The following is a 15,044-nucleotide window of genomic DNA, read 5'->3' as shown; positions in this document are numbered from 1 at the left end:
AGAGTGTAGACAAGGGGTCCATTGGGGAAGACATGGTTTTGCATTATTCCAGGGTGATGGCATTGTGAGTAGTGAGAGATGACCAGATCCTGGAAGATCTAGCCCATGTGACTTGTTAATAGGTGAGATGTAGGGTGTGAAAGAAAGAAAAATATCAGGAGTGACACAAGGTTTTGGGTCTGAGCAGTTGAAAAAATGGGGCAGCCATTTACTGAGATGGAGAAGGTGAAAGAGCAGCAAGTTTGGGAAGAAAAAAGAAAAGTCCAGTTTGGACACATTAGGATGGAGTTGGCTATTAGAAATGGATGTGGAGATGTTCAAATGGCAGCTGGATAGAAATGACAAGAGTTCAGGGGAGAAGTCAGGGCTAAAAACATAAACTGGGGAGTCATCACTCTAGACACAGCATTTATAGCCAAGGGACTGAATGAGATCAATGAGAATTAATGTGGATCAGGAAGGAATTCCAAGGACTAGATCCTGGGGCACCTCAGCATGCAGAATTGGGAAGAGGAGGGGCAAAGGAGACAGAAGTAGGAATACAAGAGAGTGGTGTTCCAGAGAACATGTTTCAAGGAGGAGGGAACAATTAATTTTAGCAAATGCTGGTGATGACAAAAGAAATGAAGAGTTTTAGCACCAAGTGCCTCAAATTTTGTCATTTTTCTAACTTATTTTTTCACCAGTTTTTAGAGAACCTATCTCAAGGTTCACATCTGGCAGCCAATGGGCCAGATTTTACCCACAAGTATATTTTGTTTGGCCAGCGAATATTTTGTTTAAAAAAAATTGAATTTGAAAGACTTTATGTTGGTTGTGTGCTCCATAGCTGACCAAAGGCCTCCCTGTTTTGTTTAAAACATGTATATATTCTTGGGTCTAATGGGCATTTATGATCATGATATCACACACATGCAACAACAACAACAACAACATAGTTATTATTGTACTTAAACTTATCTCCTAAGCCATAATGTAAGAAATTCAAAGGGAGATCCTTTGGAATTTCCCATTCGTCTGGTTCTGTGTGTATGGCAGGGAGTATTATGACCCCCACTCCCACCCCCACCCCCAAGGATATTCAATGCCTTAATCTCAGTACTTGGAATATGTTATCACCTTACTTGGCAAAAGCAACTTTGCAGATGTGATGAAGGTTAATCGCTTGAGCTTAAAATAGGGATTTATCCTGGATTATCTGGGTAGACCTGATATAACCCCATAAGCACCTAAAAACAGAAGAAAGACACTAGAGAGATTCAGCGAATGAGAAGAATTTGCTCTGGCTGGCTTGAAGATGAAGAAGACCACATGTCAAGGAAATGGGGACCTCAGACCTACAACCACAATGAACTGAATTCTGCCAACAACTTGAATAAACTTGGCAGCAGATTCTTCCCTCAGAGCTTCAGAAAGAAAGCGGCTCCTCTAACACTTTGATTTTAGCCTTTGAGACCCTGAGCAGAGAACACAGACACAGTATACTGCACTTCTGACCTAGAAATCTGTGGAATAATAAATGAACATTGTTTAAGCCACTAAATGTATAGTAAAAAAGCCACTAAATGTATAGCAAAAGATAACTAAGGTAGTTAGTGTCCTTAATAAAGTATCATTATCAAAGTATATCTATGGTTATCACAAGTCTATCTTTTTCCAGAAAAACTTCTTAGATTATTGACTCGCATCCCTTAAATTCAGAGCTTTTATCTGTACCGTCTTATGGTCTGTCTTTTCTACTTAATTTTTGTTATTTAACTTTTCATGTGTATATTTACGACTTCTATTAAACTACTGAGAGCTGCTTGAAGGCAGGGACTGGGTCTTCTATCCTCAAAATTAACTTCTGAAAATCTGATTTGATCAGGTCAATGTAGTACTTAAACTATTGTATGGTTTTCAAATGCCATTATCACTAATAGTGTTTTCTGGGCATGGCCAACACAGGTACAGAGCATGATTTGGCCCCTCTCACCTTCATAGTTTCATTTCATAAGGCATCATGGCACCCTCCAGCTGGAGCTCCAGCCACAGAGGCATCAGCGCAGTTTCTCTGAATGGCCATGCTCGTTCCTGCTCCAAGACCTCTGCATATGTTGTTCTTCTTTCTTCGTGGGACTCTCCTCCCTTCTGCATCTGGTAAATTCCAAATGCTTCTTTAGATGTCAACTAAATGGTCACCACTTCCTGAGAGAAGCATTTCCTGGCCACTTTTACTAAGTCAAAAAATCTTTTTATAGTGTAGTAATTCATTTTGTGTTGCTATAAAGAAATGTCTGAGGCTGAATAATTTAGAAAGAAGAGGTTTATTTGGCCCATGGTTCTGCAGGCTGTACAAGCATGGCACTACCATCAGCTTGGCTTCTGGTCAGAACCTCAGGAAAGTTTTCCTCATGGCAGAAAGTGAAAGGGGAGCAGGTGTGTAATATGACAAGAGAGGAGGTAAAATAAAAAGGGGGAGGTCTCAGACTCATTTTAACAATTAACTGTCACATGAACTCATGGAGTGAGAACTCATTCATTGCTGAGAGAACAGCACCAAGCTATTCAAGAGGGATCCACTCCCATGTCCCAAACACCTAGCACTAGGCCCACCTTAACATTGGGGTCACATTTCAACATGAGGTTTGGAGGTGACACACTTCTAAACCATATTAAATAGTGTATCATAATATCACTCCTTCCTTATTACAGTTGCAATTTAATGTTCATCTGTTACAATCTAACCCATGTCATATCACTTCTTTATAAATTTCAACATGTCAGAGACTATTTCTATTTTTTCCTTCTAGTCCATTCTCGGTAGCTAATGGTGTTTGGCATATAATAGTTGTTTGTTTAAAAAAAAACAGATCAATGCATATATAACTCTTATAGGCAGAATAATGTCATCCCCTCAAAATATCCACATCCTTATTCCTGGAACTAGTAAATATGTTAGATTACATGGCAAAGTGGAATTAAGTTTGCAAATGCAATTAAGGTTGCTTATCAGTCAACTTTAAGATTATCCTGGATTATCTGGATGGCCTCGTATAATCTCAAGGGTCTTTACATGTGAAAGAGGGAGATAGAAGAGAAGAATCAGTCAGGAAAATGTGAGGAGAAAAAGAGTCACAAACAGAGATGCCATGTTGCTGGCTTTGAGGATAGAAGAAAGGGGACATGAGCCAAGGAATGAGGCAGCTTCCAGAAGGTGGAAAAGACAAGGAGATGGATTCTCCCCTAGAGCCTCCAGAACCAGCAAAGCCCTGCAAATGCCTTGACTTTATTCCAGTGAAACCTATAAAGCATTTCTAACCTACATAACTGTAAGACAGTAAACTGGTGTTATTTAAGCCTCCAAGTTTGTGGTAACTTGTTACAGCAGCAATAGGAAACTAATGGAATAACCTACACCATTTCTTTGCCCACAGAAATGCAATATACTTCTTGATTGACTTCAGCTCAAACAATGTTCATTGAGCAAAACTAAATTGTTAACAATGTAATGCATTATGACAAAATATATATAATTTAGAGCTAGAAAAAAACTTTAAAAAATAGCAAGCACTTCTAACTTATCTCCCCCATTACAGATAAAAGCAAAATGAAGCTCAAAGATGTAAAATAACTAGCAAAAATGTACATATCTAGCTGGTGAGAAACCCCAGGGAGACCACCTATGTTGTAAGACAGTGAGAGAAAAAAATTAATGAGAAGAATTAGGGAAACAGCTTTGGATAATCTGTTCTACATATGGTGATCACAAGGAGTAACAAGTAGTACAGCATTTTTCTGCCTTGCAGATTAAAAGGCTAGGAGGTCTCTACCCAATTTTTAAAAAGAATACTAAATAAAAAATACAATAACAAATAACAGATTGGCTGCAAGAGGAGAAAAAGTACTCTCTGAGTAGGATTTGCCACATGGGATTAGTAGCTGTCTCATTATCTGTTGCTTGAGTTTTAAAAAATTGCTCACATTGTATAAATAGATTCCTTTACTCTTTGGAACAAAAATTATATGTGTTTAGGTTGTAAAATGGAATACTGGCAAGCCAGAGAGCTAGCTACTATGCTAACAAATATCAGTGGTTTCTTTTGTGTCATAATATAGTAGGCCATTGGTTCATGTCACTAATATGACTTGCTTTTTCCAACAGAATTTATTTTAAATTGTACTGTTTGAGGCCTAAATGCATGTCTTCTGTTACCTACCAGATCTGGAGCACTCTAAGTAGAAACTAGTGCAAAGCATCATCCTGCTCTGTGAATGAGGTAAAAGAATAATGAACACAGAAATAATTTGCACATCAGTGGCCTTTGATATCAGCAGTGGACTTTAGTTGGAAACTGTCAGGAGAAGGAAAAAGCACTGGGACTTCCAAACAGTACACCTAAATGAAGACAACCAGTCACTGTGTGTGGAATATGAATATTGTAGTCTTGGTTTTTCTGTTAAATTATTAGCTTTTTTTTCAACCTGTGACAAACTGTGATGAAAAATTTTCTCAGGCTAATAATAATCCTGCCATAACACAGGTATTTTGCAAGTCTCATTAATGTTAGTAAAACCAACTCCAGTTAATAGAAAGTGCTATGCAAGTGCAAATGGTTATTAAAGAGACTGTGTACAAATTAGAGAAAAATGACTAATAGTAACATATTGTTCTGGGATGTCTTCCCCCAGGCAAGGCAAAAAAATATCAGTCAACTAGTCAGCCAGCCTTTATTTAGTACCTAATCTGTTCTCAAAAGTACCCAAGCCTAGGGATGCAAGAGAAGCAGGTGGCCGCCACATTAACAAGAACAACTAATTCTGATGGCTAATGTTTATTGAGAACTCACTATATGCCAGAAAATTTCACCTGGATTAGTCACAATCTTCATACCAACTCCGCAGTGTGTAAATTTCCATTCGCATTTACAAATGAACAGTCATGGGAAAGTTGTAAAGAAGTTAAGTGTCTTACCAAAGGCTACACAATGAGTATATGTGGAGTCCAGACTCACTCCGAAGCAGATCTTCCTTCCACTCTGTCATGTTTCTTTGGAAATGGTACAGCACGTTGCCAAGAGTCATAGAAATAGGAAAATTATCAGAAAGTAAACTGTACACAAATGCTTGCACTATTGGTCCCATCAGCAAACGTACATGCTGTCTTTAGAAACCAGAGCATGGTGGTTAAATGCTCAGACTTTGGACCAAGATTGCCCAGGTTCAATCCCACTTCCTCCATTTAGGAAAGTTGCTTGATGTGACTCAGATTTTTATCTCTACTACCACTCTCATGCGGTTGTTAGGAGGAATCTCATATACAGCACCAGCTTCCTTAGAGGGTTGCAATGAGAGAACACATACACAGCACTTAGAACAGAACCCGGCCCAAAACTAACACTATGTGAATATTAGATATTCACGAATATCTAATACTCATGTGAATCAAAGCACGAGGGGGAACAACTGGCAAGAGTTTTGATAGGCAGCATTGGATGAATAAAGCAGAAAAAAATTGAAAGATTGATAAATCTGTTCTTTTGCTAGGCATTCACTGAGTGTGAGCCTAGAAATTAATGGGATAAATTGTTGGGCCTACCCTCAAGAAGCTTTCAAATCTTCATGCATTTATCATGGACGCTAGACTAGGACAATGAGTTTGCAGTTTGGTCTCAGGTGACTCAATCACATCCAAATATCAATGCGATGCTTATTTTTACCTTCAGCCTACAGCCTGATTACCCTCTCCATTCTTCCTCACCTTCTTTCTGGAACATCCAGTTCTCTTCATCTATTCACACCTTCTAGTCAATCAAAATTGCCACCTTGAAAATTATAAAATACTTTTCAGTCCATATACAGAAGTCTTTTCTGGTTATCTCCCAACCCAAGTCTCTCAAACTCAACAGGTCTAAGTGATCTAGTTTTTTAAATACATACTACTTTTTTATCTCCTATGCTTTCTGATATCAGGGCTTTTATTTTTCCACATTGTTCTTTTGTCACATAATGACTACTCCTTCCAGAACCAGCTCAAACAGAACTTCTATGCAAAGCCATCTATTATCTGTTCAAGGCAATTTCTCACTCTTCTGTACTCCTTCTAGCTTATATTTATAGCTATGCTTCCCTTACCAAGTTATAAAGAAGCTGATATTGATTTCTTCTTACTTCTAATACCTTAAACATGAAGATTATCCCTGGTATCTGGCATTATCATAGCTATTCAGACCATTTAATTAATTTCTACTGCACTCATATTCTACACCATAAAATTTAGCCCTTAGTTTTGCGTATACAACTTGATAGTATTATTGCAGGGCCAAGACTCATCACTTGAGCAAAATGATAATCAGTAAATCAACAAATAATTGGTGGAGTCATTTCCAGCTTTCTGACTCAGTTCTCTAAAGCATACAAAGACAGTCTCCTAAAAACTCAGTATCTAATTGGAGGAAAACAATACTGATCTAGACATAGGTGACTAAATTCTTAATTATAAATCTCTTTCATACATTTTTTCATCTCCTGATACATCATCCATAGTGATGGTGCTTGGGAGATAAGCCCTAAGAAGTTGATTTATATTTTATGTCCTCCAGTTGGTTTCATTGGAGATAAAATTTTTCTTTGCTTAGAAACCAGAATTACAGGATGGCATGCGTATGCACAGATGGGTGAGCAACTATTAGCAAAGGAAGACTTTGGGGAGCCATTTAAAAAAACAGGATGAATTCTGAATGGAAAAAGGAAATTACCCTAAAGGGTAAGTATAAAAAAGCAGCATGAGTGTTCCTTATATGAAATGAGAACATTTTATAAAAGGATTTAGGGAGTAATAAAATCAAATCTCACATTTTATTATTTTACAATCATCCTTTCTCTTTGATAATAGGAATATTACCTATAATCATTATTTAGCTCATACATACAGAATTTCCTGGAAAAGAGGGACAGAAGACACCTGAGGAAAAGTATATACGTTTATGCCTTATTCAGCCTTGAAGAAATTGTTAAGCATTTTCTGCCACATGGGAGACTAGAAAATCCTTCTCTGATTTTTCCTCTGGCTCTCAAGAAATCAAGATAACTTGCTAATGAAAGCTATGCTCTCCTCTTTTAAAACTGTATGGTCCATGGTAAATTCCAGGGTGGAACTTCTAGATAATCCATGGTGGCCTTCACCCTCAACTCTTAAGAGTAAAGTAAAATACGATGGATATCAATGAGCATTTTTTTAATTCGTTGATTTATTCAACAATTATTAAACATTTCCTAAGTGCAAGGCAGTATGCCAGTTGCTATAAATAAGAAATGGAAAACTTAAAAGATAAATAATACTAGTTAACTACTAAGTGCTAAGAGCTTTACATGAATTATGTTAAATCTTGTGACACTCCTTAAAGTATTAGTATTCTCCTCATTTTACAGGTAAAGGAACTAAACCTTAGAAAGACTGAATAAATTTTCCAATGTCTTATTACTCACAAAGTGGCAAATTTAGGATTCAAATCCAGTGATATCATATTACAGAAATAAGAGGTTTTGTAGAAGAAATGACATTGAATTGGGCTTTGAATTATAAACAAGTGCATTAGTCAACTTATGCTATCATGTGCTGTGGTAACAAACAATCCCCAAATCTCAACAACAATTTCTTTTTTCCTCCTGTATTGCATGTCCATTGTGGTTCAGCTGCACATCTCTTTTATTCTGCAACTAACCTGACAGAATATGACCTATGTGGAACACACATGTCTGATGGCAGAGGAAAAAGAATAATGACAGAACCATGTAATACTTCATAAAGCTGCTGCTCAGAAGTGACTTAAGTAACTTTCATTCACATTTCATCAGTCAAAGCAATTTACAGGTCAAGTTTGCTGTCACTGGAGTATGGAGGTAAAATTCTCTTATGGGGAGAGATAGCAGTCCTTGGGAAATCTATTACAGCAAGGTTTAGACAAGTGGATATGAGGAAGAACATTCTAAATAGAGAAAATAACTTGAATTCAATCACCATAAAAAGTAACCATTTATGCATTTATGGCAAGTGGAGTTTCAAGTCAATATGGAACATTATTTAAGAGGTTCAGAAAAGGACAACGGTTTGGAAATATTTGTAGGCTGATCTGACAGAGATTGTTTAACACGGAGGCAGTTGAATAAAAGGGGAAGAGGAAAGAGAGACTGACTCAGGCTTGCAGAAGAATAGAAAAGTTTCCCTCTCCTACTGTGTGCCTAAATGTCTGTCAATAATATCTATACAATTTAGAGAGTGACACCAAACACCCCCATCTAGTTTCTGATCTACTCTCATGACTTTGAGCTGGGCTGGGCATTGAAAGCCACCTGTCTATGCTCACAGCCCTCAGGTCTGAGTAAATTGGCCACTCACTGTCCACAGCATTGAAGTAAGAAAGGCAATTCTTCTATTAACACCCTTTTTTCTCTAAAGCAACCTACACAGCTGAAGTGATTTTCCCTTGGAGAGCAACTGAGCCCCTGAAGGGTTGAAATTGCCTTAAGGTTACTTTCTGAGTTTGATCCTGGGATCAAGAATAAAACACGGCTGTTTTCTCTAATTTACAGTGAGCTTTCATTTCCAAGGAGACTTCATCTAAGCTGTCTATACAATGCCAAATACCCTGTGAATATAGTGGAAATACTAGGGAAATAGAAGGTTGGTTTTGACATCAGGTAAATCTGTGTTATCTACCTGGTGACCGATGACCTGGGATGAACTTCAACTCACCTTACCATGTAAACAACTCCTTTAACAAAATCAAGACCATCTCACTTAGAGCTTTTCAAATCTCCTACAGTAGCTTAGGTATATTTTGACACATTAGAAACCAAAAAAAGCATAAAGTTTGTCATTAGAAAATCACCTGGCCTCTTGGAGCTTCCATGGTCTTACGGCAAAATTGAGACTTAAGGCTAGGTAACCTGGGTACCATTTTTATCCTCTTTGGTTACGTGAGAGGGAAGACCTCAAAGTGAATGCCGCTTTGAGAAAGGTTAGCTAAAAATTAACTGTCCAGAATCTCAGTGATCAAGCAAAAGCAGAAACCGTTTCACATAAACTTCTAAAAAGAAGGAAGTAATATTAGAGAGAAAACCAAGTGCCTAGGACATTGACATGTCCACACCCTCTTCTTCAATCCAAGAGGAATTGTTTTGGATAAATGATGAATGTGACAGACCATTGGGGGAAACTTTTCCAACTCCAAGAATTCCCTCGAGCTTACCAAATAAGCAAAGCATTTGAAAAAAAAAAAAAAGTAAAATAACAACAACAACAACAACAAAAATGGCCTTTTCATCTGATGAGGCCCTCTGAGCCTTACTCACAGAACAGTGTTCAAATCACAGAATTTTTAGAAGTGTAGTTGAACTAGAAATTCTACACCCTTGACTTGAAGGAACCCTCGGAAATACCATTTCAAAGCATCTTCAAGGTTTCCCAGTGAGCTCCAAGCCAGTGGATTTCAAACATCTTCCCGTGTGTCCCCAGATGGGGAGAGAAAGAAAAGCCAGGATTCTCAGAATCTGTTGTGTCTCTCCATCTCTTCCATCAGAGTGTGCTGCTTTTATATGTAGTATTATATATTGAACTTTCATGAACTATTTCTCTTGAAGAATGAACTCTAGTGCTTTGGGGAAAACAAAACAAAACAAAAAACTTTGAGAACCACTGCACCCAGCAGGAGAGATTAAAGAGAAAGCTTAACATGGCAACAGGGTCCATTGCCCCTGAGCTCCACCAAGCCTTTAGGAGCAGGGAGGGTAGGACAGTGGTAAAATAATCCTCAGGAACAAAGGCAGCAGGGAGGAGGAAAGAAAACAAATTCACCACCACGTTGCTCTTGCTGCACTCAAGCAGGCTCTGGCAGCAGCTTAGAAGGGTCCTGTTCTTTGCTAAACATTGTAGGAACCCAGCTGGGCTTGTCATACCCACTTAATAGCAGCACTTTAAGAAAGTGTTGTCATTTTCTTGTCGTACTCATTTCTCTACCCTCTATTATCTTTTCAAAATCATATTACAAAATATTATGAGCTTCCTGTATCAGACACTCTGGGTCTTAGTCACTCAATTATTAAAATTGTATGATTTTTTAAATTGCCATTATGTGTGGGCTGTCTTTACCGAAGCGACAAAGCAATTGAGTTAACCCAAATGGTGCTATGATTGCAAAATCAGAACATGGAAAATTATAGCCTTGGAGAGAAAAAAACAGCTATTTCACATCAGTGCCAATAAAATCCTGGGAAACTCACCATGACACCATTATGTTAGACAGAGCAGAGCAAATGCTCCCAACGTATTACCATGCTGGGTCATAGAAAAACAAAATCATTTAGGGTTGTTAGTTTTATACCAAGTTCCTCATCTATAGTAAACGAGGCCCTCTGGTAATGTGATGTGCTCCACGTGACACAACAAGGGCAATTCTGACCGGCTGTCAGCCGTTTCTCATTTCACCTGTGCCTGTGACCACACAGTCTGCATATGCCTGCTGTCAGAGCTGCCTCTCTCAATGAAGAACTGAGGGCAGAGCTCCATGCAGCCTGGGCTGTGCAGGAGTCTTCCATGGGCCAAGCTGGCTCTATGACATCCACTCTCCTGGCCTGATGAGCTACTGACAAAGCCAACTTGAAAATGACGTGGAATTTACAGGTGCTGCCCCAGGCTGATTTTTTTTCATGCAGCCAAGCAACAACTCCATTTCCCGTCATTCCGCAGATAATGGTTAGTATATGATCTGTAGAATGGGAACAAGGGTCCTGGCTCCCTCGTTTCTCCAATATAGACATCTGTGCTGGGCTCACCTAACATTAACTTGCACATTCAGCCTAAACCCAAACTGTGGAGTCAGTCATGTTGCTTGTCAGAGAGGATGATCTACAACAGTTCAGTCCAGGAACTTAAACACCATAGGGGTACATGGCATATAAAATTGGAGAAAGGCTAGGCACAGTGGCTCCAACACTTTGGGAGGCCAAGGCGGGTGGAGTGCTTGAGCTCAGGAGTTTGAGACCAACCTGGACAACATGGTGAAACCTTGTCTCTACAAAAAATACAGAAATTAGCTGGGCATGGTGGCATGTGCCTATAGTCCCAGCTACTCAGGAGGCTAAGGGAGGACTACTTGAGCTCAGGAGATGGGGGCTGCAGTGAATGAAATCATGCCACTATATTTCAGCCTGGGCAACAGAGCAAGACCCTGACTCAAAAAAATATATATACATAAATACATATGGAGAGAGATGTCACAATAAACACCGCAATAGGGTGTGATACAAACTCTGATGATATGGTTTAGATTTGTGTCCCCACCCAAATCTCGTATCAAATTGTAATCCCAAGTGTTGGAGGAGGGGCCTGGTGGGAGGTGCTGTTTTCATGGTAGTGATAACAAGATCTGGTTGTTTAAAAGTGTGTAGCACCTCCCTCTTCTCTCTCGTCCTTCTTCTCAGGCCATGTAAGCTGTGTCTGTTTCCCCTCTGCCTTCTACCATGATTGTAATTTTCCTGAGGCCTCCCCAGTTATGCTTCCTGTATAGCCTGTGGAACCATGAGCCTGTTAAACCTCTTCCCTAGGTAGTTCTTCATAGCAATCCAAGAATGGACGAATACATCTGAAGTCCATGCTCATCCAAAGGACACAGCACAGTGCAACCCAAATTACTCTTTCTAGGACAAACATAATACTAGCCTTTCCAGATGTTTTTAAGATGTCAGACACAGAGATTTTTATGTGAAGTGAAATTTGTTTAAGTTGCCAATGCTCTGTGTTTTTGAAAGCAAAACATGTTTGTTCATGACATTAATTTCCAATTGCTGCTGTAACAAATGATCACAAAACTAGTAGTTTAAAACAACAGAAATAGGTTATCTTAAATTCTATAGGTCAGAAATCCAAATTTTACTCCTGGGATTAAATCAAACTGTTGGCAGGGCTGTGTTCCTTCTGGAGGCTCTAGGAAGCAACTGGGCTTTTTTTGTTTTGTTTTGTTTTGTTTGTTCGTTTTCCAGTTTCTAGGGGCCATCTATGTTCCTTGGCTAATGGCCAATTCTCTCATCTTCAAATCTAGCAGCAAAGCATCTTCTAAGTTCTCTCTGACTCTGACACTCTGGTTTCTGTCTTATAAGGACACTTATGATAATAATGAGCCCAATTGGATAATCTAAAATAATCTCCACATCTCAAAAATCTTCAACTTAATCACATATGCAAAGTTCCTTTTGCCATGTAAGGTAACAAATTCACCAGTTTGGGGGATTAGGTTGTGGACATCGGGAGGCCATTGTTCTGCCTGCCACACCACCATGTTGCAATGTTCTAGAAATTTGAAAGAGCTCAGAGACTTGTCCTCAAGTCAGCCTTGAGTTGGTTCTCTTGCCTTTTATTTAATAACTAGATTCTAGTATCCATAATCATGTCTTTATTCTCTGCTCCCAATCTCCTTAACAACATTGCCTAGCTTTCAAGGTTCTACAGTGATAATCTTGATCCATAGTGCAGGGTTGAGGTCACACTGGTTAACGGGATCTCAGAATTCAAACTCTTAGTACTAAATTTGTCTACACTGCCTGGATTACCTCCAGAACCTGTCTTCTCCTCCCTCTACTAAATAAATCTCTATCCTAGGAATTGTAGCTTCGTATTTTTGCATTCTGAAGTCAGTTACTCTCATCTTCAAAGCTTTGAAATTACGAATATTTTGTGAAGGATTATACCTTTTCATTTTGCAGACACTCATTAACTATCACTTGAGAGCTAGAATAGAAACTGAGATGGATGCCTGGGCCTGAGAAGTTGCCATGAAGATGGAAAAATGAGATATTCAGAAAGCTGCTCCAAAGATGTAGATTTTACTGCGTTTATCACATTGAATAGGTGGGCCCAGATTTTGACGACAGTTTTCAGAATGAAAGTATTGCAACAATATATTCCTAGGCATGTATATATCTCTTCAAAACTAATGTGGGATCTCGCTTGGACCTCCCTGCTTATAGCAAAATCCTAGTCTCCTCTCAGGAAAATGGGGAAATGCAGAAGCTAAGCAAAGATCTGATTCCTGCAAGGGCAGAGAAAAGAGAGTAAACATTGCCGATGTGAGGTTTGATTTTCCCTTCCTAGTGGTGAAGAGTTTACTAAAAATTGGAGCCCAAGGCCATGGCATTTAATTTAAGAGTTCTGGATTTCCAGAGTGATTGAGGCCGTAGCAGAATTTAACTTTGCCTAGGGATGGACAGCATCCTGCCTCCCCAGTCAGAGCAGGAGACTGGACACTAAGCAGAGGCAGCTCCATACTATTTTCTCACTTTCTCTCCCTTCCCTCTACCATTCTTCCTCCTTTCTATTTCCTAAATTTTTTCCTTGGGAACTTCCTCCTGTCTACCTGTGGGGTAGGAGTGCCTAATTGACAGGGAACATTTGTATTCGTATTGTCTCCATTTGAAAGTTGATTTTGTTAGGTGGCCTTTGGCCTGTAGCCTGTCACTCAGAACATAGCTGTGCTTTCTTGCAAGAGCCTGTCGGACCTCAGGAATATTCTTTATCTTATTCAGCCTATGCGCACAAATAGCAAAGACTATACACAGACCATCACAGAACTGGACTCTGTGCTGCATCTGCCCCAAAGACATGTTTGGCTGCATTGTTTTACTTAACTGTCAATGCTTTGAAAATCAAGGCATTCCACAAGAAAATTCAGACAACCACGCTCTCTTAAAGCCATCAAAAGATCTGGCTTATCTGGGTCTGCAGTTTCACAGACAGAGCACATCTACAACTTAGTAGCAGCTTACTCTTTAAACAGGTGCACCTCCTCTAGCTTAGTCCAGCAACCTGACTACCCCAGTAGGCATTTGAGTTTGTAACCCATGTGGTATCATGTAGTAAATAAATGTATGGAATCTGGCTGGCCTACATCTGATTCTTGACTCCATATGCAACAGCTTAGGCTATTCTTGACTCTGCATGTAACAGCTTAGGCTTCTGAAGGCACTACTAAAGCCACTGGTAAGGGATCAAAGCCCATTTCCACACAATAGGAGACTCTAAATTCTTTTACTGCATCTGAATATTCTTGCAGTGAGGATTTCTAAAAACAAGCTGGCCATCAATTGGTTCTTTGAGATCACTTTGTCGTCTACAGATTAGTGATTTGAAATTACTTCTATTTCCAATTATATTTATTACATGTGGCCCACCTCCAGTGTTCCATGATGTGGCACTGTGAGTGGGCTGTTGCTTTTTCTGTTTAATACTTGCAAACTCATAGCATGGCCAAGATGATCATTTAGTAGTGAAGGATACAATAACAGGGCCAGGTCATCTCACCCACACCACTCCTGGTGTCAGCTTCCTGGGGTATGGATTCCATTTCAGACACAGCATCTGTTCAATATCACTTTCAATACAGTCCTAAGATTCAGGAGAAACATTTTAGTGCCAGATAGATATTTAAAATTTAAAAAATAAATGTTCTCAAGAGACTGTTCATTGAGCCATTTTATTTTCAGGATGCACAGGAAATGTTTGTCTTACCAATTTGAAATAAATGTAATTGACCTTTTAAACACAGAATCTGAGTGATTTAGAGAAAAGAGAGAGAAACATTTCTACCTAATCTTATTAGAATGAATAACAATGGTGACTCTTCTATAAGACCTTCAGCTAATAAGAGCAGAATGTCCCTTCTAATGGTTGTTAAAAGACTGGATATATAGATATATGAAGACAGAAGAATTAGTAGCAGGAGTCCAGTTACCATATCCCAGAGAGAGACCATGAGAGGAGCATGACATTGCTAGGCAACGCTGTGCAGTTAAACAAGTTTTCACTGGCTCAGTGTGGTGTAGTAGGTAGGAAGCAAAATTCAAGAAAAGCACAGGGAAAAAAGAATGACATTGTTTATTTTAATAGGATAGGGATGGAGGGAACAAAGGCAGATATACAAGTTAGCTGCAGCCAAGTTTTCCAGGATATGAATGTGAATTCTAGAAAAAATAAGAATTCTAGAAAATTTTAAACATTTATTTCAACAAATTAA

The 15,044-nt window shown here is 39.0% G+C and overlaps 1 long non-coding RNA gene across 1 annotated transcript in view; it reads right to left on the bottom strand.

The window, feature by feature from the left end:
• LINC02758 (long intergenic non-protein coding RNA 2758) overlaps nt 1-15,044 on the bottom strand; it is a 140,695-nt gene that overhangs the window by 122,073 nt on the left and 3,578 nt on the right. Inside the window, exons 2-3 of the long non-coding RNA XR_002957243.2 lie at nt 14,309-14,416; nt 1,976-2,203 (exon numbers count right to left, since the gene is read on the bottom strand). This is a non-coding gene — a long non-coding RNA (long intergenic non-protein coding RNA 2758). The remainder of the gene's footprint in view (nt 1-1,975; nt 2,204-14,308; nt 14,417-15,044) is intronic.

The sequence above is a fragment of the Homo sapiens genome, chromosome 11 (assembly GCF_000001405.40).
Source record: "Homo sapiens chromosome 11, GRCh38.p14 Primary Assembly".
NCBI lineage: Eukaryota > Metazoa > Chordata > Mammalia > Primates > Hominidae > Homo > Homo sapiens.
This window is presented reverse-complemented; position numbering and strand designations above follow the sequence as displayed.